The following is a 23,634-nucleotide window of genomic DNA, read 5'->3' as shown; positions in this document are numbered from 1 at the left end:
GACTTCAGAATATTCCATTTCCTAATTGCACCTTCACAACAGCTCTGTGAAGAAACCAGGGCAGGTATCGTTATCATCGCCACTTTATAGGTACGGAAACTCAGACGCTGTGAAATTAAGTGTCTTGCTCAAAGTCATGTAGCTGATTGGTAATGACATTGGACTGAAGCCCAGGCTGCCCTGCAGGAGAATGGCTGTGTTAGATGCTAAGTTGCTCATTGACTGAGGCTGCTTTAACTGGACGGCTCCATTTCCCTTGTTCTTGTGGCTGCCAGAAATCAGACCACAAAGCAGGGCAGCAAGCCTTTGCTCTCCAAGGCGGGGGGAGTGGGGGGATCCTGCACCTTAGCGGGGAATTTCCTGGAGGGCGGGGATCTGAGTGAACTAACTCACGTAAAGACCATGGCGAGATGCCTGCGCACCACGGGCACTCCGCAAGAGGTGGGTCCCCCTTCTTTGCCTGATGGCCACGACATAAACATTCAATTATTGGCCTCTAAGGAGGCTGGGGCAGGTGGAAGCCTGAATGGCTCATTCTTTTTATTTGCTTTTTTTTTTTTTTTTTTTTTGAGACGGAGTCTCAACTCTATTGCCCACGCTGGAGTGCAGTGGCTCAATCTGATCTCACTGCAACCTCTGGCTTCCGGGTTCAAGCGATTCTCCTGCCTCAGCCTCCCGAGTAACTGGGACTACAGGCGCCTGCCACCACGCCTTGCTAATTTTTGTATTTTTAATAGAGACCGGGTTTTGCCAAGTTGGCCAGGCTGGTCTCGAACTCCTGACCTCAAGTGATCCGCCCGCCTCGGCCTCCCAAAGTGCTGCAATTACAGGCGTGAGCCACCATGCCCGGCCTTTATTTGCTTTTCAGCTTTGCGGTCTCATGCTGTAGTTGGGTGCAAAACTGGCATCCACAATGACAACTACAATGGTATTTAAAATCACATAAGAAGACAAGAACTAGTATTCTAATAAGATGGCTATCCAAAATAGGTAAGAGAAAAGGAGTTGGGGAGCTAAAAATATAAGATTTGAGATATCAGGGAAATGTTTTTATAAGGAATACCCAATTCCCTATATGACTTCAGATAAATGAGGCGTCCCGGCAACCTGAGGTTGATATCAAAAGCTATTTTTGTTCTGAGTAGCTAGAAAGGGCAGTCTTTAGTTTAAAGTGATATCAGTGCATAGTAATCACATTTAGCAACAAACTCCTGATATTTGCTTTCAACTTAATATTTCTGCCTACTTTTTTTATTTTTGAGACCGAGTCACTCTGTCACCCAAGCTGGAATGCAGTGGTGCAACAATATAGCTCACTACAGCCTCGAATTCCCAGCTGAAGCAATCCTCCCACTTCAGCCTCCCTAGTAGCCAGGACTACAGGAACACACCACCTCGTCTGGTTAATTTTTTTAATATTTTGTAGAAATGGGGTCTCACTATGCTGGCCAGGCTGCTCTGCAACTCCTGGCCCTAAGCAATCCTCCTGCCTCAGCCTCCCAAACTGCTGGGATTACAGGCATGAGACAACGCACCCCCACTCTTGTCTACTTCTAAGAAGAACAGGTTTAATAAGACTATATATTGTGTTCTTTATTTCTTTCCTTCTTCTTAACCCCACCCCGGAACCCCATCCAGAGAATGAGTGACCCATGACAGGCAAGAGTCAAAAGGAGGTGGCTCCACAATTTCCTGTGGCTCAGCCAGCTCTCTGAGTGTCAGGGACTGAAAGTAACTTGGGCAAGTTTCGCCAAGCAGGAGTTCCCCGAGGGCAGACAGTTGGGAGTCCCAGCCAGTACAGGCCCCAGAGGCACCAGGGGCTCGAAGCTGCCATCTGTGTGACAAGAAACTTTGGAACCAAAATGCAAAGAAAAGAAGGATGTTCTCAGGGCAATTGTCTCTATGTGGTAGGATCCAGGGAATGCTTTTTCTTTCTAGTGCTTTTCTGTGTTTTACAATTTTTCTACAAGGAACATGTAGCCCTTTTATTACCTGAAACAAAAATTACTGTTTGTAAAAGGGAGGTGTTTGGGTTTGGGGGTCCAAGAGTTACCTGCTCTGAGTGAGGCCATCGATGACAAAATTCAGCAGCATCCTGCTCTGACCTGCCACGTGGGCAGTGTCCCCCAGCTGGGGCCCACCCTCCTCCTCTCTTGACAGGGAAGGCAGCTCAGCCAACCAACTCTGGTGGCCCTCCTGGGACACAGTTACTGATCATTTGGAGAAGAGAAGAAGCCTTGCCTGGGATCTGTGGACCCAGGGTTTAGGTTGCTGAGAGCTTTGAGTCTCAGAAATCAGAGGCACTGCCTACCATTCCAGTCTTATCCCCATCCTGCATTTCTAGCCTTCTCTTGAGATTCTTGAAGACTCACATGCTGGTTCTGGCTTCAACGGACACCCAAGTCATTTGAAATCTTCCCATGTCTCATGCACACATTTATACATTGCTTAGGCAGCTTTCTCAACCTAAGAGAAATCTCCTTTATCTTGTCTACTGGAGAACTGAAAAACTCCTATATATCCTTCAAGGCCCCATATCTAGCCTCCTTTCAATAACTTTCTCTGATCACTACCCCCAAGCAGTTATCTCTTCCTTCATCTCTGCTCCCCCCAGCATGGCCTCTAGGCCTCAATTATTTAAGCCTGTAATTATTATTTCTTTGTGATCTATCTGTTCTAGCAGATCAGAGGCTCCTTATACCATGACCTGTGTCTTAATTAAATTTCTATCTCCAACACAGGGCCTCTCATTCATTCATTCATCTACCCATCTCACCAGCTACCATTCCTCAGGGGCAGCTTTGTGCTAGATACTATCACACACACACAGCTGCAAGACGGTGTGACATTTTTGGCAATCGCACGACCTAGAACAAAGGGCCTGGACAGCCTGTACTTTTCAAGCCTCAGATGGCCTGGGCCTTGGGAAATCTCGTCTCTTAACCCAGTGTCATGGAGGGTGGTGACGCTCTGGGTGAAGCTCCTCCCATCCTGGGTAAACTCCTTACTCCTAGAAGCAAATCATTCTCCCACAACCGCACATTGATACGTGGCTTAGACAGCTTTCTCAGCTTAAGCTGCCCTTCCCCTCCCTTGTCTTATCCACTGGAGAACTGAAAAGCTCCTACACATCCCTCAAGGCCCCAAAATCTAGCCTCCTTTCAATAGTGCCCACCCAACTTTGGCAGCCGGAGATCCAGAGAAGTAACCAATTCCAGATTTGAAGCCAAACTAGGAATCAAAACCCAGGAGTCCCATTGCCAGACTGTGCCAAGATACCAGGATCTGCCATGCACCCATTGGCATCTCCTAAGATGATATTCACCAAGCTGTCCCCACTGCCCATGAAGGTGCCAGGAAAAGGCCTACCAAGTCTTTGATATGGACATTTCTGGAGGGAAACTGGTCCACAAAATAATTGGCCATCCTACACCCTGGAGTCTAGAAGTACTCAGCTCCCAGGAGGGCTCAGATCTGCGCCTCCTTCTTCCACTTCCCACGGGCTTCATTCCACCCACCTCAGTGGCCATCCCTCCTCTCCCCAACCCTAGGGCAAAAGAGAAGGCCATTGGGGTTAATTGACTGGAAGCCTCTCCCTGGCAGCAGGCAGTAGTCTCCAGAGCTGGGTCTTCTCTAGGCTGGCGTTAGGCGGCCCCTGGGGACCTCAGAGCCTGGGAGCTGTCAGTGCCTTCCGCTCACTTACCCTTTGTTAATTGCCGAATACACAGATTGCTGGGTAGCGCTTTCCAGTCCTGTGCCTTTTCCTGGATCCTTTGCCACTTGGCAGCCTGCAGGCAGCTGTGCAAAACAGCAAGGAGCTTTCTTGTTTGGTGCCAGTGTCAGAGAGCTTGGAACTCTGTTTTCATTTTCCCTTTTTTTCTCATTTCTTCCTTCCCACCCTCAAGTGCTCTGTTTTGCTCATTTCTCCCTCTACTCTCCCTTATCTCCATGACACCTTTCTGAGCCTCACCTTTCAAGTTAGGGACTCTTCTGATGCCTGTCCCCCCATCCCCACCCTCCCCAATTCCCCCATCCCCACCCTCCCCAATTCCCCCATCCCCACCCTCCCCAAACCCCCCATCCCCACCCCTACATTTCACCCAGAGATCAAAAAGCAAAACTTCCCACTCTGACCGGGGTTTGCACCCAGGCAGAAGATTGAATCCTCCTGTGCAAATGGGAAGAGGTGGGTAACGAGATTAAGTCCTCTCCCTCACTCAAGGATATGTGCGACTGACCCTTTGCTCTGAGGCACCACGAGCCTGAGTATCTGGGGCCTTCACAAACACCCAGGTGGGTGGGCCGCTGCCTACAGGTAATTGAAGGGGAATGAGGGAACTGGGCCAGCATCCCTGCTGGGACCAGCAGTGAGTCAGACCCCTTCCCCACACTCCAGACCTACCAAATCCAGCCAAAGAGCCTTTACCTAAGGGGTTCCCCAGGTGAGGGAGGAGTGTCGCTGGACCCTCAAGTCTATGAAAGACCTCAGAAAATGCAGCTCTCTGTCCCTACGGGGACACCCAAAGGATAGAGGTTGTTAAGTAGGGATGGCTCAAGTTGCAAGGGCTGGGCACTGGGCCAGGGCGCCCACGGACTTGGACTATACCCACTGTGTGCCGAGCGTCTCATAGGTCACAAAGATGGGTAGGGTGTAGTCCCCACCCTCGAGGAGCTGAAGCTTCTGTGGTTTCTCTCCTGTCCAATGGGGCTAAAGATCTCTGCCCTTCCTCTGAATGGGATGTTGTGAGATCAACCAGTTGGATGGTTGCCTGGAGAATAAAGCTGAAAGCCTGTTACAAATGCAAGGCAATAGCGGTGGGGATAGACCCCTGGCTTCCAGCACCGTGCTCTTTACCTGACCCAGACGGGACAAGTCTGGGAAGACAGTCTGCATCACCCTGGACTGAGAATGGGGTTGCTATGACTCTCAGTCAAGCCACAACTTTCCCTGAGTATCTCGCTTGCAAGTTCCAGGCTAGCTTGCCAGAGAAGCAGTGGGATCTGAGGTGGGAGAGAGCTGGAAAGGAAATCTCATGTTCTAGGAACCCAGAAGCACCTCCAAAGTGTCCACAGTGTTGAGCCCTCCTCTCTGCAATTAGAATAATTTGCACCTAGTCCTGTGCCAAGCAGTCATGCATAAACCCAGTACCCTACACTCACATACATGTGCACATGCATGCACATACACACATGTGCATACACACACACACACACACACACACACACACAAATGGGGCCAGCTTCTAGGAAAAAGGAGTGACTACTATTCTTTTTCTTTTCATTTCTTTAAATTTTATTTTATTTAAGTTCCGGGGTACATGTGCAGGATGTGCAGGTTTGTTACACAGGTAAAGTGTGCCATGGTGGTTTGCTGCACCTATAGACCCATAACCTAGGTATTAAGTTCCGTGTGCGTTAGCTATTTATCCTGATGTTCTCCCTCCCCACGCCCCCACCATGGGCCCTCCAGTTGTGTGTGTTGTTCCCCTCCCTGTGTCCATGTGTTCTCATTGTTCAGCTCCCACTTATAAGTGAGAACATGTGATGACTACTATTTTTCTTATACCCTGAGCATTTAAGGGTCCTTCTAAGAAATTCACCTCCTCCTCCCTTCCCTTGCTAGGAGAGTCATGGGTATTTTAGACTCCCCATCTCCACAGGATGTTGATGAGGAAGAATTGCCTTCCCCGGGCCCTCCAGTCCCAAACTTAGAAGGCCCAGAATGTCCTCCTAGGCACACTACCCAAATACCTCGGTGTTCCTGGTCTGCTCTCCTGAAAAACCCATCCTGGGCTTTTCAGCGTTCTCGAGGATGAGAAACTGAACTACATCTATGTTGTCTGTAATTTCTATAATTACTGTTCACCCTTAAACAATGAGGGGGTATGGGGCTGGGTGCGGTGGCTCACGCCTGTAATCCCAGCACTTTGGGAAGCCGAGGCGGGCGGATCACGAGATCAGGAGATCAAGACCATCCTGGCTAACACGGTGAAACCCCGTCTCTACTAAAAATAAAAAAATTAAAAAAAAAAAAAAAATTAGCCGGGCGCCATGGCAGGCACCTGTAGTCCCAGCTACTCGGGAGGCTGAGGCAGGAGAATGGCATGAACCCGGGAGGCAGAGGTTGCAGTGAGCCGAGATCGTGCCACTGCACTCCAGCCTGGGCGACAGAGCGAGACTCCGTCTCAAAAATAAATAAATAAATAAATAGATAGATAGATAAATAAATAAATAAATAAATAAATAAAACAATGAGGGCGTATGGGTGCCACCCCCAACAAAGTCAAAAATCCAACTACAACTTTGGACTCTCCCCAAATTTAACTACTAATAGCCTACTGTTGACGGGAAGCCAATAACATAAACAGTCAATTAACATGTTTTGTATGTTATATGTATTCTATACTGTACTCTTACAATGAAGTAAGCCAAAGAAAAGAAAATGGTATTAAGAAAATCCTAAGGAAGAGGAAATATACTTCCTATTTGTTAAGTGGAAGTGGATCATCATAAAGGTCTCCATCCTCATCATCTTCACATTGAATGGGCTGAGGAGGAGGAGGAAGAAGAGAAGGGGTTGGTCTTGCTGTCTTGGGGTGGCAGAGGCAGAAGAGGTGGAAGAGGTGGAGGAGGTGCAACAGGAGGCGGGAGAGGCAGGCACACTCAGTGTAACTTTTGTCGAAAAAACATCTGTTTATAGGTGGACACAAATCAAACCCATGTTGTTCAAAGATCAACTATATTTCTTCTTTTTAACCTTAGCATTTAAACGAGTTCCTTTTGAAAATGTCAGCCTGTCTTAGCTATAGGAAGGGAAAGGAGATTTGGTCTGTGCTCAGCCCATCTTAGAGAGGCAAGAGCACATCTGGAGTCTGGGCTGGGGGAGGCAGCAGGGTCAAAGTGAGGAGGCCGAAGGTGTGAGGGAGCTCTTACCAGACCCTGCAGGTTGGGCCATAAACCTTCCCTCATCGGTCAGTCCTGGAGGGGCTTAAATTTCTACCATAGAATCAATACCTGTTAGGGGCCTTCAGAGACTAAATTCTAAACGGTGAGAAAGCCCAACTTTCAGCCTCCTTCAGGGTCTCCTTCCAAAGCCGATCTCTTCTCAGACTCGACAGGAGTGGTGTCTGTGTTCCTCAAATGCTGGGCTGGTACCCCCTCCTCCCAGGGCACTTTCCTAGCCCAGCAACCCTGAGCAGTGCTCAAAACTACAGGTTTCTCCCTCTTACCTCCTGAAACTTCCTTGAATCTCATCCATCCCCGGGCAGTTTCAGCTTTCTAGGGTGATCGCAGGCTAGAAGTGACATTCTAATCCATATATTTGTTTTGAGACAGTGTCTCACTCTGTCATCCAGGCTGAAGTGCGGTGGCACCATCATGGCTCAGGATCACCTCCCTGGGCTCAGGTGATCCTCCCAGCTCAGTCCCCTGAATAGCTGAGACTACAGGCATGGGCCATCATGCCCAGATAATTTTTGCATTTTTTGTAGAGACGAGGTTTTGCTATGTTGCCTAAACTGTTCGGTCTCAAACTCCTTGGCTCAAGCAATCCACCCGCCTCAGCCTCCCAAAGTGCTGGGATTACAGGTGTGAGCTGTTGCACTTGGCCATCATGAAGATATTTTAGAAGAGCTAAAATCGGGTGGGAGGGCCCCCATTTTCACCGCAGCTCCAGCCCTCCAGATAATATCTCCGTATTTTAATCATGGTCTTTGGAAAATGATGCCTCCCATAGAACTGATGGGATTGTCATGATGTCACAGAAAGAGCACAGGATGGCACTGAGGTCGAAAGGCATGAGACCTTGAGTTAGCTGATCTCGAAGGGCCTGGGGTCTAAGGCCTCATCCTCCTTGAACATTCTGGATTTTCCCTCTCTGGAGCCCAACTCTCTCACCTTTTAGAATTTAGTTTCCTAAAGCCCCTACCAGGTGTTGATTCTATGGTAGAAATTGTAGCCCCTCCAGGACTGACCAATGAGGAAAGGTTTATGGCCAAAGAGAACTTAGGCAATTCTCAAGACAATCCGAGTAAATCACAGCTTCTGATTTACTCCTCCTCCACCCTCCTCCACCAGGTCCTCCCCCGTTCTTTCTGCCAGTGAGGACCAGCACCTGTCCGTGGGATCAGCTCCAGGGGGGACCTGAACAGTCCATTTGCCATCAGTGCCCCAGTCAAGCACAGGATCTGCTGGGTGGCTAGGAAGGGCCAGTGGCTTGCCTCAGCAAACCCAACGTAAGGATTTGCAGAATCTTTGCCTATGCTGGCCCCGGTTGATAAGAAAAGCTCCCCAGAGTGAAAGGATGAAGAAAGGGAGACTTCCCACCCCATCAAGGCTCCAGATCAGCCTTTCCACCCACTGCAGCTCTGCACAAACCAGCTCCCTGATCTGACTGGCCCTGGCCCCCACCCTTGCCTGCTCCCTTGCCTCACTCTGGGTGGGACCCAAGCCTGGGGGGAATTGAAAAGAAACAGCCAGCTTAGGTTGCTATTGTTTTGTTTAAACAACCGCTGGCTGGGCTGACTTGGAAAGGAATAAGGGGAGGCTGAGGAGCTCAGGGCAGACCAGGCTGGGCAGCCCTTCCCTGCGCTCAGCCCTAGAACTCTCCATCTTGCTCGGGTGGCAGAAGAGCTCTGTAGGGAGAGTGGCTGCTAGGCATCTGTCAAGGCCTTCCCTCCTCTCCTGGAAGAGATGGGCGGCAAGGAGACAGGCTTCCATTCTCCAATCCCTTATCCTTGTCAGGCCACAGCCCTTTGGCCACACCTGGGCCTGGATAATGCCAGCCCTGGATAAAGCCAGGCCCAAAATGCGGGGAGTTGGGGGACTGTGCTGAGAGGGGAGCGAGACAGAGCTGGAGTGTGCATCACCATATGGGTGGGACCTGATGTTGAAGGCTGCCCAGATCCTCCTGAGCAGAAAAGAACAGGATCAGGGAGAGTAGAAGGAAGTTAAAGGAAAGAGATCTCAGCTGGGCGCAGTGGCTCATGCCTGTAATCCCAGCACTTTGGGAGCCTGAGGCGGGTGGATCACCTGAGGTCAGGAGTTCGAAACCAGTCTGACCAACATAGTAAAACCCCATCTCTGCTAAAAATACAAAAATTAGCCAGGCGTGGTGGTGGGCACCTATAATTCCAGCTACTCGGGAAGTTGAGGCAGGAGAATCGCTTGAACCTGGGAGGCGGAGGTTGCAGTGAACTAAGATCGTACCACTGCACTCCAGCCTGGATGACAGAGCGAGACTCCAAAAAAAGGGAAGGAAGGAAGGAAGGAAGGAAGGAAGGAAGGAAGGAAGGAAGGAAGGAAGAAAGAAAGAAAGAAAGGAAGGAAGAAAGAAGCAAGCCAGCAAGGAATGAAGGAAGGAAGGAAAGATCTATCTCACCTGTATCAGGTGAAGAAGACAAAGTACAAGGGGCTCGTGGGGGAAGGGTCTATCCTTCCACAGTCTCCTGCTCCTTCTTCCAACCAAATGAGACCTAGCTCTATAGGAACCAGCCTTGGAAGAGGGATATCTGACCAAGAGGCCCAAAGTGAGGACAATAATAGACAAGCTGCAGTCTAAAAGGTAGGAGATCTGGTGGGTTCTGGACTGAGCGAGTAGGACTTTAGTTCTATAAAAGGTAAACCTCAAGCTAGGGGATTGGATCTCTCCTGCCCCTGCCCCCACCTCAAGCAGGGCCTCCCACCTCTCCCCCATCCTCCCAGCATCCCATGAGCCCCTCTTCTAGGCTTGGTGAAAAGGTAGCCAGGGCACAGTTAGGTGTCGGCAGACTCAATTAAGAGTCACGCTAATCACCTTCATTAAGGCTATAAAACCCCACACCTAGGGGCCTTGGGGCTCCCTGGCATGGCCTGGGGCCCCTGAGCCATGGCACAGACCCAGGGGCCCGGCTCCAGTCTCTTTCATCTGAGCATCTCCCAGTCCTGCACAAACAGTAATTAGCACCCACCCCCGGGGTCACCTCATTATCCCATAGACACTGAGTGGAGGGGAGGAGGGAGGGAAAGAGAGGAGGGAAACTGAGGCTGTCCCAGTGGCCAAAGAAACTGCCCCAGGGTTGTGGGCTGAGTTAACTGAGGGTGGGGAGAAGCTGCCACAGAATCAGGCAGTGTAGCCTCCTCCTGCTTTCCCTTCCCCCGCTGGTTGCTCTGAGCCCATTGCTTAATATTCTAAAGGCTCCAAAGGGAGCAGAGTCCTCCCTCCAGAGAAGATGGGCTCCTTAGTAAGATCCAGAGAACTGCAGACCTAAGCGCCTCCCTTAGATCCGACCAGACCCTGCAGGTGATGTGTAGCGCCCAGTCTCAGGCACCAATAGGGATCGTGGAACAGCTCTTTGGGAAGTGTCCTACAGGGCCTCTCTAGAGGGAAGGTGTCCATTTGCCCCCCTCAGCAATACGTGTGTCTGTCCTCTTTCCCTGGATCCCCTGAGGTACCCATTCCAAAACCCCACTCACTGCCCTGTCTCCCAAAAGCAGCCATACATCCTCCTGCTCTCCCATTTTCCTCCTCTCCCATCCTACTTCTTCTCCCATCCTCCTTCCTCTCCCATCCTCCTCCTGCAGAGAGAGAAGCAATCCCGCAGAGCCCACGTGGCCTGAAGTGTGCCCAAGACATAACCTACAGCCCTGCTTGTCTCTTCTTTCAGGGCGCCGACCTGAAGAAAGGGAAGATTCAGGGCCAGGAGTTATCAGGTGAGTAAGACCCTAGGGACCCCTTCCCCCAGCCAGGGCATCAGTGACGATCACAGGAATCAAAACCTCATGGTGCTGCTTTGTCGTGTGCTAGCACCAGCCTGAGAGTTTTCTTGGATGCCCTGATTTCATCTCCACAACTGCCTTTTATGGTCACTGCCATCAGTGTCCCCATTTTAAGAGGATAACACTGAGGCACAGACCATCCTGCGCCATGTGAATGGCTAGTAAAGAATGCAGCCAGCTTCACAGTGCAGGGGGCCATCTGACTGGAGGCTGCTTGTAACCCCTGTCCACCCCCATCCTTCCCCCAGCTCCCCTCTCTCAGATCCCTGCCCCAGGAGGATGCCCCCAACCTACCTTGAAAGGGATGCTCAGGTACTGGGCTGGCCTCTGGCACAGCACTGGGCACCAAACTTAGCCCTGCAGTTCCGTGAAGCAGCGTGGGCTTGGGCACCAAGCAGGCCTGGATTCAAATCCCAGCACCACCACTCACTGTTGGCCTGGCTTTACCTCTCAAGCCTCCAGGAAATGGGAAGATGGAGGAGATGTCATAAGTGAAGGCCTACAGCCCAGGGCCTGGCCCGGAGAAGTGGTCTAGCATGTGTGAACCCTTTCCCCTCCTCCTCACGCCTCAATTCTCTGCCTTTGGAGGTTTTGAAGAGGGGATTCTTGAGGAAAGCCCTAGTGAGAGGCATTAGTCTCTATCTCCCTTGAGGAGATAGAGGATAAATTCTCCATTGCACAAATCCAGTGAGTTCTCACTTCAGACTTGTCCGCACAGAACTGAGGTCACCAGTTTTGGGCAGCGTCAAGTGTGCCCACGGTGGAGTGTACTCCACAGCCCACATGCCCACACATCTTGCCCACACTGACTTGTCCCATCTGCCCTCCATACCTAAGCACACGAGGAGACTCCCTGGCACCCACCTGTGCTCAGAAGTCTTTCTCAGCCCTGGCGGTGTTTAGGAAGAAATGCTCCTTTACCTGCATTTACACACACACAGGCCCTCCAAAACAGCATCGGGGCGTTTGCACACTGGCTGTTCATGTACACACACCCACCCCGAGTGGGACCTCCAACCACACACATGGCTCTCAGCACACCCAGCTCTGCTCTCACTCTGAGTGCACATGCGCGTGCACACACACACACACACACACACACACACACATATATCTGATCTGCGATCCAAAAATGCAGGGAAAGATGAATCGTCAGGAATTCCCCGGTTGTTGGCATGCTGGAAGCCACCAGTGGCCGGAAGTGCACAGTGAGGGACTCTTCCAGTGCTCCAAGCAGCAAGTCGTGCTTTTGTTTAATGATCAGGAGAGGAAAGAAGGGGAGATGGCCATAAAGGACCAATACTCCCTCCCACCAACATCCTCATTGCAAATGCTTCTTTCCCACCCACCCAGAAAGATTCTTGGCTCCAGCCTGGCTCTCCTCCTTGGAAAGGAAGATGGAGAGCGGGAAGGGGAGTGGGAAGGGGTGAAGCACTCTGGGAAAGAGGCCCACCTTGAAAGACCTAGGCCAGGCCAGCAGGACCTTGACTCTGCATGGACTTGGGGAAAGAATGAGGGATGTCCCCACCCCACTTCCCCCGCCCCAAAAAAAGAGCTCAGCCTCCTGGAGGGAGAGAGAAGGACTGGGAGAGGGAACTTCTCCCTGATGCCCCGAGCACCCAGCTCCTACAGCTCCCATGATCAAACCTTTGAACCCAGTCCCACCCACCCTCGTAACCACTTCCAGACCCTCCAGACGCAGCCAAGAAATTGGCTTCTTTGGGGATTGAGTTCATAAGCAAATGCCGAAAAAATAAATAAAAATCCTCTGCCAAACACACTCACAGAGGAAGATGGGCTTCTCTTGAGGCAGGAAATCCATCAGGATAGACTAAAGCAAAAACAGGACAATGCCAACACCCACTGGCCCATAAAGGCCTGGGAGCCACGCCAGCACCCAAGGCCTTCAAGCCAGCTCAGGGTGTTTCCTCTTGGACCACCTCCTCCCCCACTCTCACCCCCACCAAAATATGTACTTCTTAAATGAAAATACTGAAGCTGAGATCCCGCCAAATACAAATCCTAATGTTTTGCAGGGCCGAGTGCTGATCTGGGGCCCCAGGGAGGTCAGCAGGACCATGGGAAGGCAGAGAGCTCTGCCCTCGGTAGTATGGGATGTTGATGCTCACCTCTCTCCTGCTTCTACCTATAGCCTACCAGGCTCCCTCCCCACCGGCACACAGTGGCTTCCATCGCTACCAGTTCTTTGTCTATCTTCAGGAAGGAAAAGTCATCTCTCTCCTTCCCAAGGAAAACAAAACTCGAGGTAAGACCTCCCCATCCTTCCAGCCACCACCGGGGTGAATTCTGGGGTGGAACAAACGCTTCAGGCATTTACGGGGAAATTGGGGCCTTGACCCCCACTCATGAGCCTTGGAGACTGGGGTCGAAGGCTGGTGTTTCTTGGGAGTGAACTGGAAGGAGTGCCCTAAAGATGTTGGCATCAGGTGTGGTCTCCCTTGAGAAGTAAGTCCCACAGACCAGTGTAGAGGCTCCAGTTGGGTGGGTTGGTATGTAAGGCAGGGTCTCAAAGCAGGTGACTGCAGCCAGGGAGAAGAGTACCCCGAAACTTTGCATGGCATGTGCAGGCAGCTGCCCCTGAACTTTGGCAAGTCATTGTGCTCTGTAATTGAGTCTGATCTGGGCAAGAGGGCCCTGGAATGCCACCCTGCCAGTCTATCCTCATGGGTTGCTAATTACTGGGTCGGCTGTGCCATCTCAGTGATGAGGGGAAGATGTCCCCCACCATCCCCCCTCCACTAGCTTCTCTGAGCAGCCCTCCTTGGCTTCTGGAGCAGACCAACTCCCTATAGCCTCCTAATGGCGAACCCCGCCTGCTTGGCCTCGGTCCTCCTGCCACCAGGGCCAGGGAGCAGGAGCGGTGGCCACTTGGCCACTGCAGCATGCCACAAGTGTCTCACCTGACCCAGTGTGAGCCATGCCCCCGACTCCCCCACCCGCCATCTGAGCCTTAGATTTCTCTTGCAGAAAATGGGAAATAAAGCCACCCCTGCACTCTCAGCTCCCCAATTTTAGGGAAGGGAAGACAATAGAGACTGAACAATGCCATCTGGAAGTGCAAGAAGCACATCCCCCAGGCTGGCAGGAAGGCAAGTGGGAGGGTGGGTGTCGTCAGCCATTTCCTCTCACCCAGTGACCTCGACCAAACATCCACCCACTAGGAAGCTGGCACAGGTATTGCTACAACCGCGATGCCGGAGGCCCCACAGGAGAGGAACATGGAGCCCAGAAAGGCACAGGTTGAGCGACAGGGCCCTTCAGATGTGCCGAGCAGGGCCCACCTATCACAGAGGGCTCCAGGCCACCCTGGGAGTGGAGCTGGTGCAAACTTACCACCAGTGAACCTTCCCCAGGTGCCCTCAGCACCTTGCCAATCCGTGAATCTGTTTAAACGGCTTTGCCAAAGACATACTTTTAAGTTTAGATGCAGAGAGAAGGAAACAAAATTATGTATCTTGCCCAGACCAAGAAAAACTGTCTCCAGCACCCTGGCTACCGATCTCACCAAAGATGTCGGGACCTCAGCCTATGACATTCTCCCACCCATGGGGTTCTCATAAAATGAAGCAGTGCCTCTGAGCCCCACCATGAGACTCCGGGATCACCATGCCTATGCCCAGGGCGGGAGTCTCTCGGGGGTGAAGTGCTTTCTGAAGGCAGGATGGAGGGAAGGATAGAGCATCGGGAGATGCCATGAGGAGGGACAGACAAGGGAGAGGAAGGGAGCTGCATACACCAAAGACGCTTCCCTACTCTGCGTGCTGGGGCTCCTGAGGCTCGACCACAGCCTGTCCTCCAGAAACCACAGTGGCCTGAGGGACCAGCAGAGGCCTGACCCACCCCTCCCAAGATGTTGGTGACCAGGCAAGGAAGCCAAAACGCGCTGGGCCTGAAACGCGTTGTTTGGTCTTGTGTACTTCCCCACCCCACCCCTTGACCCACCTTTTGTCCATGGGGAACTTAGAAACTGGACTTGCATCTGTACAGGGTTTAAAATGGCCCTCCCAGGCTGGGCGCGGTGGCTCACACCTATAATCCCAGCACTTTGGGAGACTGAGGTGGGCGGATCACGAGGTCAGGAGATTGAGACCATCCTGGCTAACATGGTGAAACCCTGTCTCTACTAAAAATACAAAAAAAAAAAAAAATTAGCCCAGCGTGGCGGTGGGCGCCTATAGTCCCAGCTACTCCGGAGGCTGAGGCAGGAGAACAGCATGAACCTGGGAGGCGGAGCTTGTAGTGAGCTGAGATCGCGCCACTACACTCCAGCCTGGGGACAGAGAGAGACTCCGTCTCAAAAAAACAAAAAAAAAAAAATGGCCCTCCCAGATGAAAGCCCCAGCCAAGGTCCCAGTCTTGCCATGTGATGCCTTCCATGTGCCCAGCGCTGTGCTGGGAACTTCAGAGGAGACACAATCAAGGGCACCAGGAATTTTCCCTGTCCCCAAGTGGCTTACAGTCTACTTTGGAAACAATTAAACAACAATGCAAAGCAGGTTGTAATTAAACACTTAATTGTGTGATTCTAACTGTAAGGACAATTGGAAGTCTGTGGACTCAGGGATAGATCTCTTCCCTTCCTGTCATACCTTTCCCTCCAGAACACTGTGCTCTCTCCAGCCAGAGAGGATATAAAGGTGTTTTATTGTAGAGTGAGGCAATCTGGACTCCCCTCTCTCTAGTTAGTAGTTTCACTTTGAGGCCAATCAATGAACCTCGCTGGGCCTCAGTTTCCTAATCTAGAAAATAAGGGGTTGGCTCCAGATGATCTACAAATTTCTCTGGCCCTGAGGCCATGGGGAGGAGGTTGGAGCAGGGCTGGGCCCTAGAGAAGGAGGAGATCTGAATCCTTGAGTGAAGGAAGAGGGAGCTCTGGGTTGGAGAAACCATAGATTTTTTTTTTTTAAGTGAGAAAATGGAGGGGAAGGGGAAAAACAAGGTTCTCAGAAGTCCGGCAGAGGAGTGGCTTTTGCAGGTTGACTCTGGGAAGCCGTTAGAAATTATTTACCAGAGAAGCAACACTCAAAAGTCACTCTTTGGAGACGACGAACCTGGAGGGGCAGGCAGAACTGACCAGAATGAGAGGACAGGACACCACCAGAGGGGTCGAGACATGAGGCAGTGAGGTGTGGATGAACCCAGGGGCGATTGCAAAAGCAGAAACCCCAGGTCCTTGCACGATGTTGAAACACTCAGGGCCTGGTGCTCTCTGAAGCACCTGGACGGTGCCTGGGGACTTACGGAGCCCAGGGCTGGACCAGTGCTTGGGAGGCCAGAGCATGGGGTCCTGCCAATGAACACAGGTCCCAGGACTTGCCTTGATCTAGATTTCTCTCCAGGGGAGAGAATCCGTGGAGGAAGCAGGGTGTCAGGGGTTGGGAGGGGGGCAGTGTGGTATAACCAGCTGCTTGTGTCCCCTGGGTGAACAGGCAGGAAAAGCTTCTAGAGACTCGAGGGGAAAGGTCAGCCTACAGGAGCCAGGTAGAGGGGCGTCTATGGCAGACGGGCCACTGAACCCCATCCTGTTCAGGCCTCTTCCCTCCCTGGATCTTATGGGTAAATGACAGGCTTAGGGTGAAGAAGGAGGCTTGAGATGATTCTAGTAGAGCCTGTCATGACTATGTAGGGGGATGTGGGGATGGCATTGTTCAGACCCAAGGAGGTGAAACCCTCCCCAGGATTCCTCTTTTTACTGTGACCACAGGACAATGTACATGTGGTCAGCAAATGAGATCTTGATGTCCCGACTCTGATCGTTTGACCTTGGCCAGGTGACCTCCCCTCCCTGGGTCTCAATTTTGACCTCATCAAGATACAGGGTTAGACTAGTTGATCTGCAATTGAATGACCTGAAATTGATTTGCTCCCAGCTTCCCGGAATGTCCTGGCCTCCCTGTTCTGCCAAATAAATGCAGGGACCAACTGATGAGGCTCGACTTTCCCAGCCAGCCCTGATACTTCCTAGTAGAGGTCTTGCATCAGACCCCACGAGGCCAGGAGCACAGCAAGGGTCGTGGAGGGGCTTAGAGCTACCCCACTTCTAGCTGATGAAACCCTGCCGTGCCACCCCACTCCTCCTACCTTTGCACAGCTCCTTCCTCTCTGGCCACTTTCAAACCACGCCTGGCATAACTCAGTAATGCCTTCTGCATTCGCTCAGCTGATGCCAGATGCCTAGTGTATACTTGGCGCTGTTTTGGGTGCTGTAAGAAGTCACCATGTGATGGTGTCCCTGCTCTCATGCATGTGTGGAGTCACCCTGGTGTAGCTCTATGGATAGGGGGTGCTCACTGAGAGAGTCAGGGGAGATATTCAAACAGCACAAGCATAACTGGTCCCCAAGATAGGAGGAACAGAGAGACCCCTGAAATCTAAACAGCCTTAACTGGTGCCTCTGACAAGGGCTGGCCGGCCAGCGTCACAGGACAGCTATGTGACGCTTGTCCCAAAGGCCACACTTTGCCTTTCCAGATTTGCAGATGCCATTATCTCAGGCCTGTGACATGCTGGGCTGTCTCCCTCTGATTCTAAGTGAACACCCCTCTGAGGGGGACATCTTTCCTTCCAGGCAGATTTCATTTGCACCTTGTACCATTGCCCTTGTGTGCGGCACACTGCCAGACGTCCCTGAACTACTTCTTTGCTCACATCTGCCTGCCCACCACTGCCCATCTGGGCGTCTCATTCTCCCCTTCCCAGACCCGCAATGCCTTGCCCACTTTCCAAGCACCAGTCCCGGCTGCTGGCCCTCCATCACATCCTCTAGAACAACCCCACAAGGCTGATCCGCTGAGCCAGGCTTCCCCCAACCTGCTGTTGGCATCTCTAGTCTCTATCGTCTTCTCCACTCACACAGCATTTGTTGTGCCTCCCCAGACATCTGCTTTGATCTCTTTTGTATTTCTAAATCACTTGCCACTCGTGGCGGCCCCCCTTCCACCATGAGACTATCAGTTCCTTGAGAGAAGCGCTCACCTCTGCCTTCTTTCCCTTCTCCCACCTGTCCCTGTGCCCAGCCCACTGTTGGCTTTCAGTTAATGAGTGTGTCTGTGTGTGAGACACACCCACATATGCACATCCACAAGCCATTCACACACATGGATCTGCACGTTCTCACACCCCCACATTTGCAAACACACGTCAGCTTGCCTCAGCACCTGAGAAGGCAGCCACCTCTGTGAGTACCATGCCCACAAGTGACAGTCTCTGCATTGATCGACGTCCTCCCTGTCCCAATCCCAGGCAGGCAGGGCTGCCTCTCCACCAGCCTCTCCACCAGCCACCCTGCCCCTCCCTGGCCTTCCCCTTGCCACCCATGTCAAGGGGGCAGGACAGTGGCCATCACCCCTACCCCAGGGCAAACGAGGAAAGCAAAGCCTGAAACAGTGAGTGGCATGACTTACCAAGGGCGTCCACAGTTAACAGCCATTTGACTTTCTTCTGACTTCCAGGGAAGGGCTGTTTGCACCTGCCACCGCCTTGCCTACATCCCCGCTCTCCTGACCCAGACTTCTGGGCCCCAGTGGGGATACAGACAGAGCACAGTTGCATCCTGCTGTCCCAGGCCTCCTTGGCCAGCAGCAGCTGCCCAGAATGGTCCACGCACACACCCCCTCCCTGGCTGTGGCTGAGCCTCAGAATCCTGGGGAGCTGCGGTCTGTGCCACACCACACCTCGGTCACCTCACCCAGAGGTGTCACAAGCCAGCCTCACACTCCTCTTGCAAGCGAGCAGGGGAAATCCCCTCTCTGCCCCACGAGAGGACATGCCACAGCTTGCTCCAGAAGCCACTCCAAGGCCGAGCGCCCAGGATGGTGTCAACGTGCTGGAAACTAACGGGCAAGAGAGGCTTGGGTCACCACCTCCAGGGCAGCCTCAGGGCCCTCAGAGGGGAAACTTGCTCACTGCAAAATGGGAGTCCTGGGCCAGGCAGCCATAAGCCGCTCCCTAGCACCACAGGCACCCAAATTCGGCAGCTCAGAGGTGGAACCACCCACCCACAGGGGTCAGAGAGGAGAGACGGGCAGGGACTTGCCACATAGGGGGTTGAAGTCTTGCTTGTGGCATCTGAAGGCATGCAGGCCTCGGTGGGTGAGAAAGAAGGGGAATCATGGGGCCAAGGGCAGCAGAGCCCCACGCAGCTTCAAGAGTAGGAGATGTTGCTGCAGAGGGATGAGGCTGGGAGGAAATCCACCAGCCTAGTAGCAGAACACAGCAGCACATGGTGTCAGGAAGCATGGAGGGAAGAGGCCTGAGAGGAAAGGGGGCCCTGCCTGGAGACCAGCCCCCGCCCTCAGACTGCCCCCCACCAGCGCACACACAGACAGACACAAACACACTCAGCCCACCCTCGTGACCTCCCATGGTGGTTCACCTGGCCCAGCCCCAGCATCCCCCAGGGCCCAGCCCCTGATCACTGTGTGGGCTTGTGGCAGGAGGCGCTCTTCCTCCAAAGGGCCCCACCCACCTGGCCGAGCGGGTAGAACTGGGGGCCTGGCAGCCACCCAGCTGGGGCCATCCCGGGCAACACTCAGACAGGCACCCAGGCTGGGAACTGCCTGAAATCTCCATGAGCCCCAGGCGGACCTCCTCAAGAAGCAAGTCCCAGTCCAGCCGAACATCAGCCATCCCAAGCAATGTTGAACACATCGTGAAGAAACCACACAGATAAGCCCCCAGATTCTACCCCAAACTCCAGCCAATTGTTGCCACTACCAAATATTGGAATTTATCACTGGAAGCTAAACTGGCAGCTTGAAGTCTCCCATCCTCCTGATCCCTTTCCTGCCCCAACCCCAGCTGCAGAAGGGAGGAGGAGGCCTAGGGGATGCACTGGCTGGATAATTAGAACCAGCTTCCACTCTTCAGCCCTCCTGGGTCCTCTCTCCAGAGGAGACGCAGGTCACCCCTCACCACCCCGAAACTCTGCTGGCATCCCCTCCCTCTCACTCCTGCCAAAGTCAAAGTGCCCCCCACTACCCGAAAGCCTCTGGAGCCCGCAGTATCAGCCACTCAGCAAATCTCCTCCCGGAGTAATTGGATGTGATGGAACGAGGGCTTTTCAGGTCCTGAGTGGAAGTCTCTGGATGTCATTTAATGGCACAAAAAATAAAAGTCTCAGGCCTCCCGCCTACCACCGCCGGGACATCATTAATCTCGGCAGAAAGGTATCAGTGCTTCTATCAATGTGGCCGGTCCCGTGACGAGCCAGACAAATTACAGACCTGAGCCGGGCTCTCTGTGGGGCGGTTATTAGGCTGGAGTTGAGTTTTTGTTTTTTCTCTTCAGGGCCACCATCCCCCAACAAGAAGCAGTGGTGCCCTTACCTAAGAGGAGAGGCAGCGAGGCCAGGGAAGAGGGTGATCACCTTGGGTAGATACAGATCACCACCTGAAGGAACAGGGCTGTTCGGAGCCGGAGCCAGAACCAGTGGCCCCTGTCCTTACAGAGACCGCCCTGGGACAAGAGGCTGCCGCAGCTCCAACCTCAAGGTCTCAGCAACCCACTCCTTGTTCTCCAGCCCACCTGAACGGGGGCCCATGGGAGAATGGAGCTGGGGTGGGGGGAGCCTCCCTCCCTCAGCTTCCTACCCCACTTCCCAGGCTAAGAGGGAAGTACATCAGGATGGAAATACATCAGGACGGAAATACTGAGGACCAAGGACCAGTCAGGTGGGAAACGTCCCTTGGCTACAGCAGGGTCACCCAGGAACTGCTGTCCTCGGCTGTTGGGAAGTCTTAAGAGTGGGCCTGTCTAGGTGCAGTGACTCACACCCGTAATCCCAGCACTTTGGGAGGCCCAGGCAGGAGGATCACTTGGGCCAGGAGTTTGAGATCAGCCTGGACAACATAGGGAGACCCTGTCTCTACAGATAATTTTTTTTTAATTACCCAGGTGTGGTAGCACACAACTGTGGTTCCAGCTACTCAGGAGGCTGAGGCAAGAGGATCACCTGAGCCTGGGAGGTCAAGGCTGTAATGAGAGGTGATAGTGCCACTGCACCCCAGCCTGGAGAATGGTCCTGCCGAAGGGAATCCAGGGGTGTCACTAGGGGTGGGGACCTTGTCTGCTAGGGACCCAGACTACAAAGTTCTACTGCTGGCCAAGGCCACCCTTTGAAGGACCAGACTGTGATTAGGTTAGTATTACTTGTATTATATTAGAAACTCGCCAAGGGCAGGGGGTAAAATAAGGCAGCTCCGCTGACCCCATGCCTGGCAGAGGACCAGGGTGATGGCTGCCAGTGTTAAAGGGGCCCTGGGGTCTGACCTCATCTAAGAGCTTGCACTTCTGGCAGGGGAGCCGATCCCCCATTCTACCAAGTCCTGCAAGGGGGCCAGGGTAAGCTGGATGTGGCAGAGCACCTCTCAGTCTCTCAGATGCCTGCTTAGCCCTAACTGGCCCAATGGAGCCGTCCAGAGTTTGTCCAGCACGTGACAAACCACTCCCAAACAGTGGAAAGCCAACCCCACAGATTTGGGAAGCTTGGGGTGGAGAGAGTGACTGTCAAGACCTGCCCCAGGGCCTTTTCCAAACATTCCTGCCATCATCACAGTCCCTGGGACTAAAGCTCCGAGGAGGAGCCCCTTCCCCAGCTGCTGAAGACAGGGGACATCTTTCCCCCCTAGAGCCTAATAGGAGGCCAGGCACAGAGTGGTGGCCCAGAAATCCCCCAGTGGCTTTAGATAAGGTTATCAGGCTCTCCCCTTGGCCCCCATCTGGAACATCGCTGAAATCTAACATCTCTCATCACTAACATCTTTCCTATCAGCACTGACCAGTAAGTGAGAGTGCCAGGACTGCTGCATCTGGCTATGCAGGATGAGAACAGCACCCCCTACGGTTGTGCAGGGATCAACCTGTACATCATATGTGGCAGCCCTGTCCTGAGATGCCCAGGCCTCTGTGTCCCAGCCACAGGGCAGGTGGCTCATGAGACAGGCATCAGACAGCTTCCTCCTCCTTTCTCCCTTCAGCCAAGGCCTCCCACCACCAAGGCCTCTGAAGTGCCCACACTGCCCCTACCCTCGTCCCAGGAAGAGCCTGGCCTAGGTGCATCCAGGATACAGTGGAGTGGCCCAAGCACAGACAGCAGCGCTGCCCTTTTCCTGCCTGGCCGCGGACTCTCTGCCTCTCGGGGACAGCAGTGCCATACAGGAAGGGGCTTTCCTCTGAGCGGTGACCACAGAAGCCGCAGCCTCCTAGCTCTCCAGCTCTCCCCACACACCCCAAGGGCCTGACTCACCCCCTCTGCCTTCTAGAACTTGCCCTCTGTGGCAGGAAACAGGGGGTGTAAGGAGTTGCGGCCAAGCCAGGAAAGGAGGCAGCAAGAGGCTAGCCGGCACGGGGACTGGGTTTCAGGAGCTGGCCAGGGAGCCCGAGAACCACAGGGCTGTCGACTTGGGACTGGAAAGGAACCACGAGTGCCCCAGGGCACTGAAGGCTCAGAGGCTTCCGAACTATTGAGGGGAGCCAGCTCTCGCTCTGGACTCAGGGGATTTCTTCCCCGCAGCTTGCCCCAGCCTCGTGATGGGTTTCAATTCCCTTCCTGCCGTGCAGGTTCCTTCCTGCCCTACGGTGGGGAAGGCCCCCTCGTCCCTGTTCCTGCCACACACCAATTCACCCATAAGCCCGTATTACCCTGGCATGTGCGCGTGCGCACACACACGTGCACCCACACATACACATGTGTGTGCACACACTCGTTCCCAGGGTCATAATACCATAATTCCTTTCCTTCCAGCCAGCTGGGCTCCTAGGGTGCAGAGGCTCAGGCACAGCCCCTCTGAAAGGACACTCAGGTGACACTGAGCCTCCTAGGAGAACCCGGCTGCAGTCAGTACACCTCCACCGGGAGAGGCTTTCTCAGCACCTTGGCCACCCTTTCTGCAAAAGAACTCCTGGAACCCCTTGTTTTCCAGCCCCCCTGGGCCCCATCTGAGCATGCAGTCACTGAGTCGAATAGGATTTGAGGGAATCTGCAAAGGCCTTTCCCCATCCCTGCCACTACGAAGCTTCCTTGCCAGTACCCCAGCTTGTGCCTCAGTCATCCCTTCTGTGAACTGGGAATGGGAACAGTCCTCCCTTTTTGGGATTGGTGTGAGGATTAAGCGAATTATGTGTCAAGCTCTTACAGTAGTACCAACACATAGGTGGGGTGTTACTGCTATTATTGTTTGCATTATTGTTATTGTTATTTTGGGTTTCAGATTAAAAATTATCCTCTCCTTGAGAACATCTTTGAAATGTCAGCAGCCTCTGGGAGGCAGCAACGCTTCAATGGGCTTGCTATCTTAATTGCTATGAAAAGGGTGGTGGGTGCTGACCGAGGAGACAGGCAGGTGGGAGGGTGGGTGGCCCGTGAGTCTCAAGTGGGGTTCTGAGAGCTTCCAACCCCTTGCCCTCTTCTGTCTGGGTATCAGAGGTGACTGGTCTCCATTAATCCACTGTGTATCGACCACTGCCTAGCTCTGCTCCGGACAGGATCTTCCCCAGGCACTCTCTCTCCACCCTGGGAGGTTGCTGCATTTAGCAAAACAACAACAACAACAAAAAGTAGGATGCCCAGTAAAATTTGAATTCCAGATAAACAACGGAAAAAAAAATTCATGTAAGGATGCTCCATGCAGAATGTGGGACACGCTCACACCAACAAGCGATTTGCTATTTATCTGAGATTCAAATTAAACTACTTCCTGCCTTTTCCTGGCAAGCATCTGCCCAGGGTGCCTGACATCCAGGGTTTGGGAAACAAGAACGTGGGAATATGCCTCTGACCACTTCCCTCAGCCTCACTCCATGCCCCAGGCTGTGCCCTTCTTGCCCTGCCACAAGGCCTGTTCACACTTGCCCCAGAAG

At 53.0% G+C, this 23,634-nt stretch overlaps 1 protein-coding gene across 2 annotated transcripts in view, besides 7 other annotated features; it reads left to right on the top strand.

Moving 5' to 3' along the window:
- The window catches only part of PEBP4 (phosphatidylethanolamine binding protein 4), a 227,827-nt gene that overhangs the window by 203,214 nt on the left and 979 nt on the right, over positions 1-23,634 (top strand). For both annotated transcript variants that reach the window (NM_001363233.2, NM_144962.3), the window contains exons 5-6: positions 10,644-10,689; positions 12,908-13,021. In NM_001363233.2, the coding sequence (NP_001350162.1) occupies positions 10,644-10,689; positions 12,908-13,021 (160 nt within the window). The remainder of the gene's footprint in view (positions 1-10,643; positions 10,690-12,907; positions 13,022-23,634) is intronic.
- Positions 6,902-7,102: a silencer, noted in NCBI's record as "peak6940 fragment used in MPRA reporter construct". NCBI's record gives its function as "represses an SCP1 promoter by STARR-seq MPRAs in K562 erythroleukemia cells {active_cell/tissue: K562}" and the evidence as "EXISTENCE:reporter gene assay evidence [ECO:0000049][PMID:32103011]".
- Positions 18,425-18,714: an enhancer, noted in NCBI's record as "active region_27095". NCBI's record gives its function as "activates an Ori minimal core promoter by ATAC-STARR-seq in GM12878 lymphoblastoid cells {active_cell/tissue: GM12878}" and the evidence as "EXISTENCE:reporter gene assay evidence [ECO:0000049][PMID:35858748]".
- Positions 18,735-18,784: an enhancer, noted in NCBI's record as "active region_27094". NCBI's record gives its function as "activates an Ori minimal core promoter by ATAC-STARR-seq in GM12878 lymphoblastoid cells {active_cell/tissue: GM12878}" and the evidence as "EXISTENCE:reporter gene assay evidence [ECO:0000049][PMID:35858748]".
- Positions 21,646-21,785: an enhancer, noted in NCBI's record as "active region_27093". NCBI's record gives its function as "activates an Ori minimal core promoter by ATAC-STARR-seq in GM12878 lymphoblastoid cells {active_cell/tissue: GM12878}" and the evidence as "EXISTENCE:reporter gene assay evidence [ECO:0000049][PMID:35858748]".
- Positions 21,816-21,895: an enhancer, noted in NCBI's record as "active region_27092". NCBI's record gives its function as "activates an Ori minimal core promoter by ATAC-STARR-seq in GM12878 lymphoblastoid cells {active_cell/tissue: GM12878}" and the evidence as "EXISTENCE:reporter gene assay evidence [ECO:0000049][PMID:35858748]".
- Positions 22,149-22,952: an enhancer, noted in NCBI's record as "H3K4me1 hESC enhancer chr8:22572425-22573228 (GRCh37/hg19 assembly coordinates)". NCBI's record gives its function as "activates a minimal SCP1, AML or CMV promoter by ChIP-STARR-seq in naive H9 embryonic stem cells {active_cell/tissue: H9 hESC(naive)}" and the evidence as "EXISTENCE:reporter gene assay evidence [ECO:0000049][PMID:30033119]".
- Positions 22,516-22,595: an enhancer, noted in NCBI's record as "active region_27091". NCBI's record gives its function as "activates an Ori minimal core promoter by ATAC-STARR-seq in GM12878 lymphoblastoid cells {active_cell/tissue: GM12878}" and the evidence as "EXISTENCE:reporter gene assay evidence [ECO:0000049][PMID:35858748]".

Source organism: Homo sapiens, chromosome 8 (assembly GCF_000001405.40).
Source record: "Homo sapiens chromosome 8, GRCh38.p14 Primary Assembly".
In the NCBI taxonomy this organism is placed as follows: Eukaryota; Metazoa; Chordata; class Mammalia; order Primates; family Hominidae; genus Homo; species Homo sapiens.
Note: the sequence above shows the minus strand (reverse complement) of the source record. Positions and strands in the feature narration are given on the sequence as shown.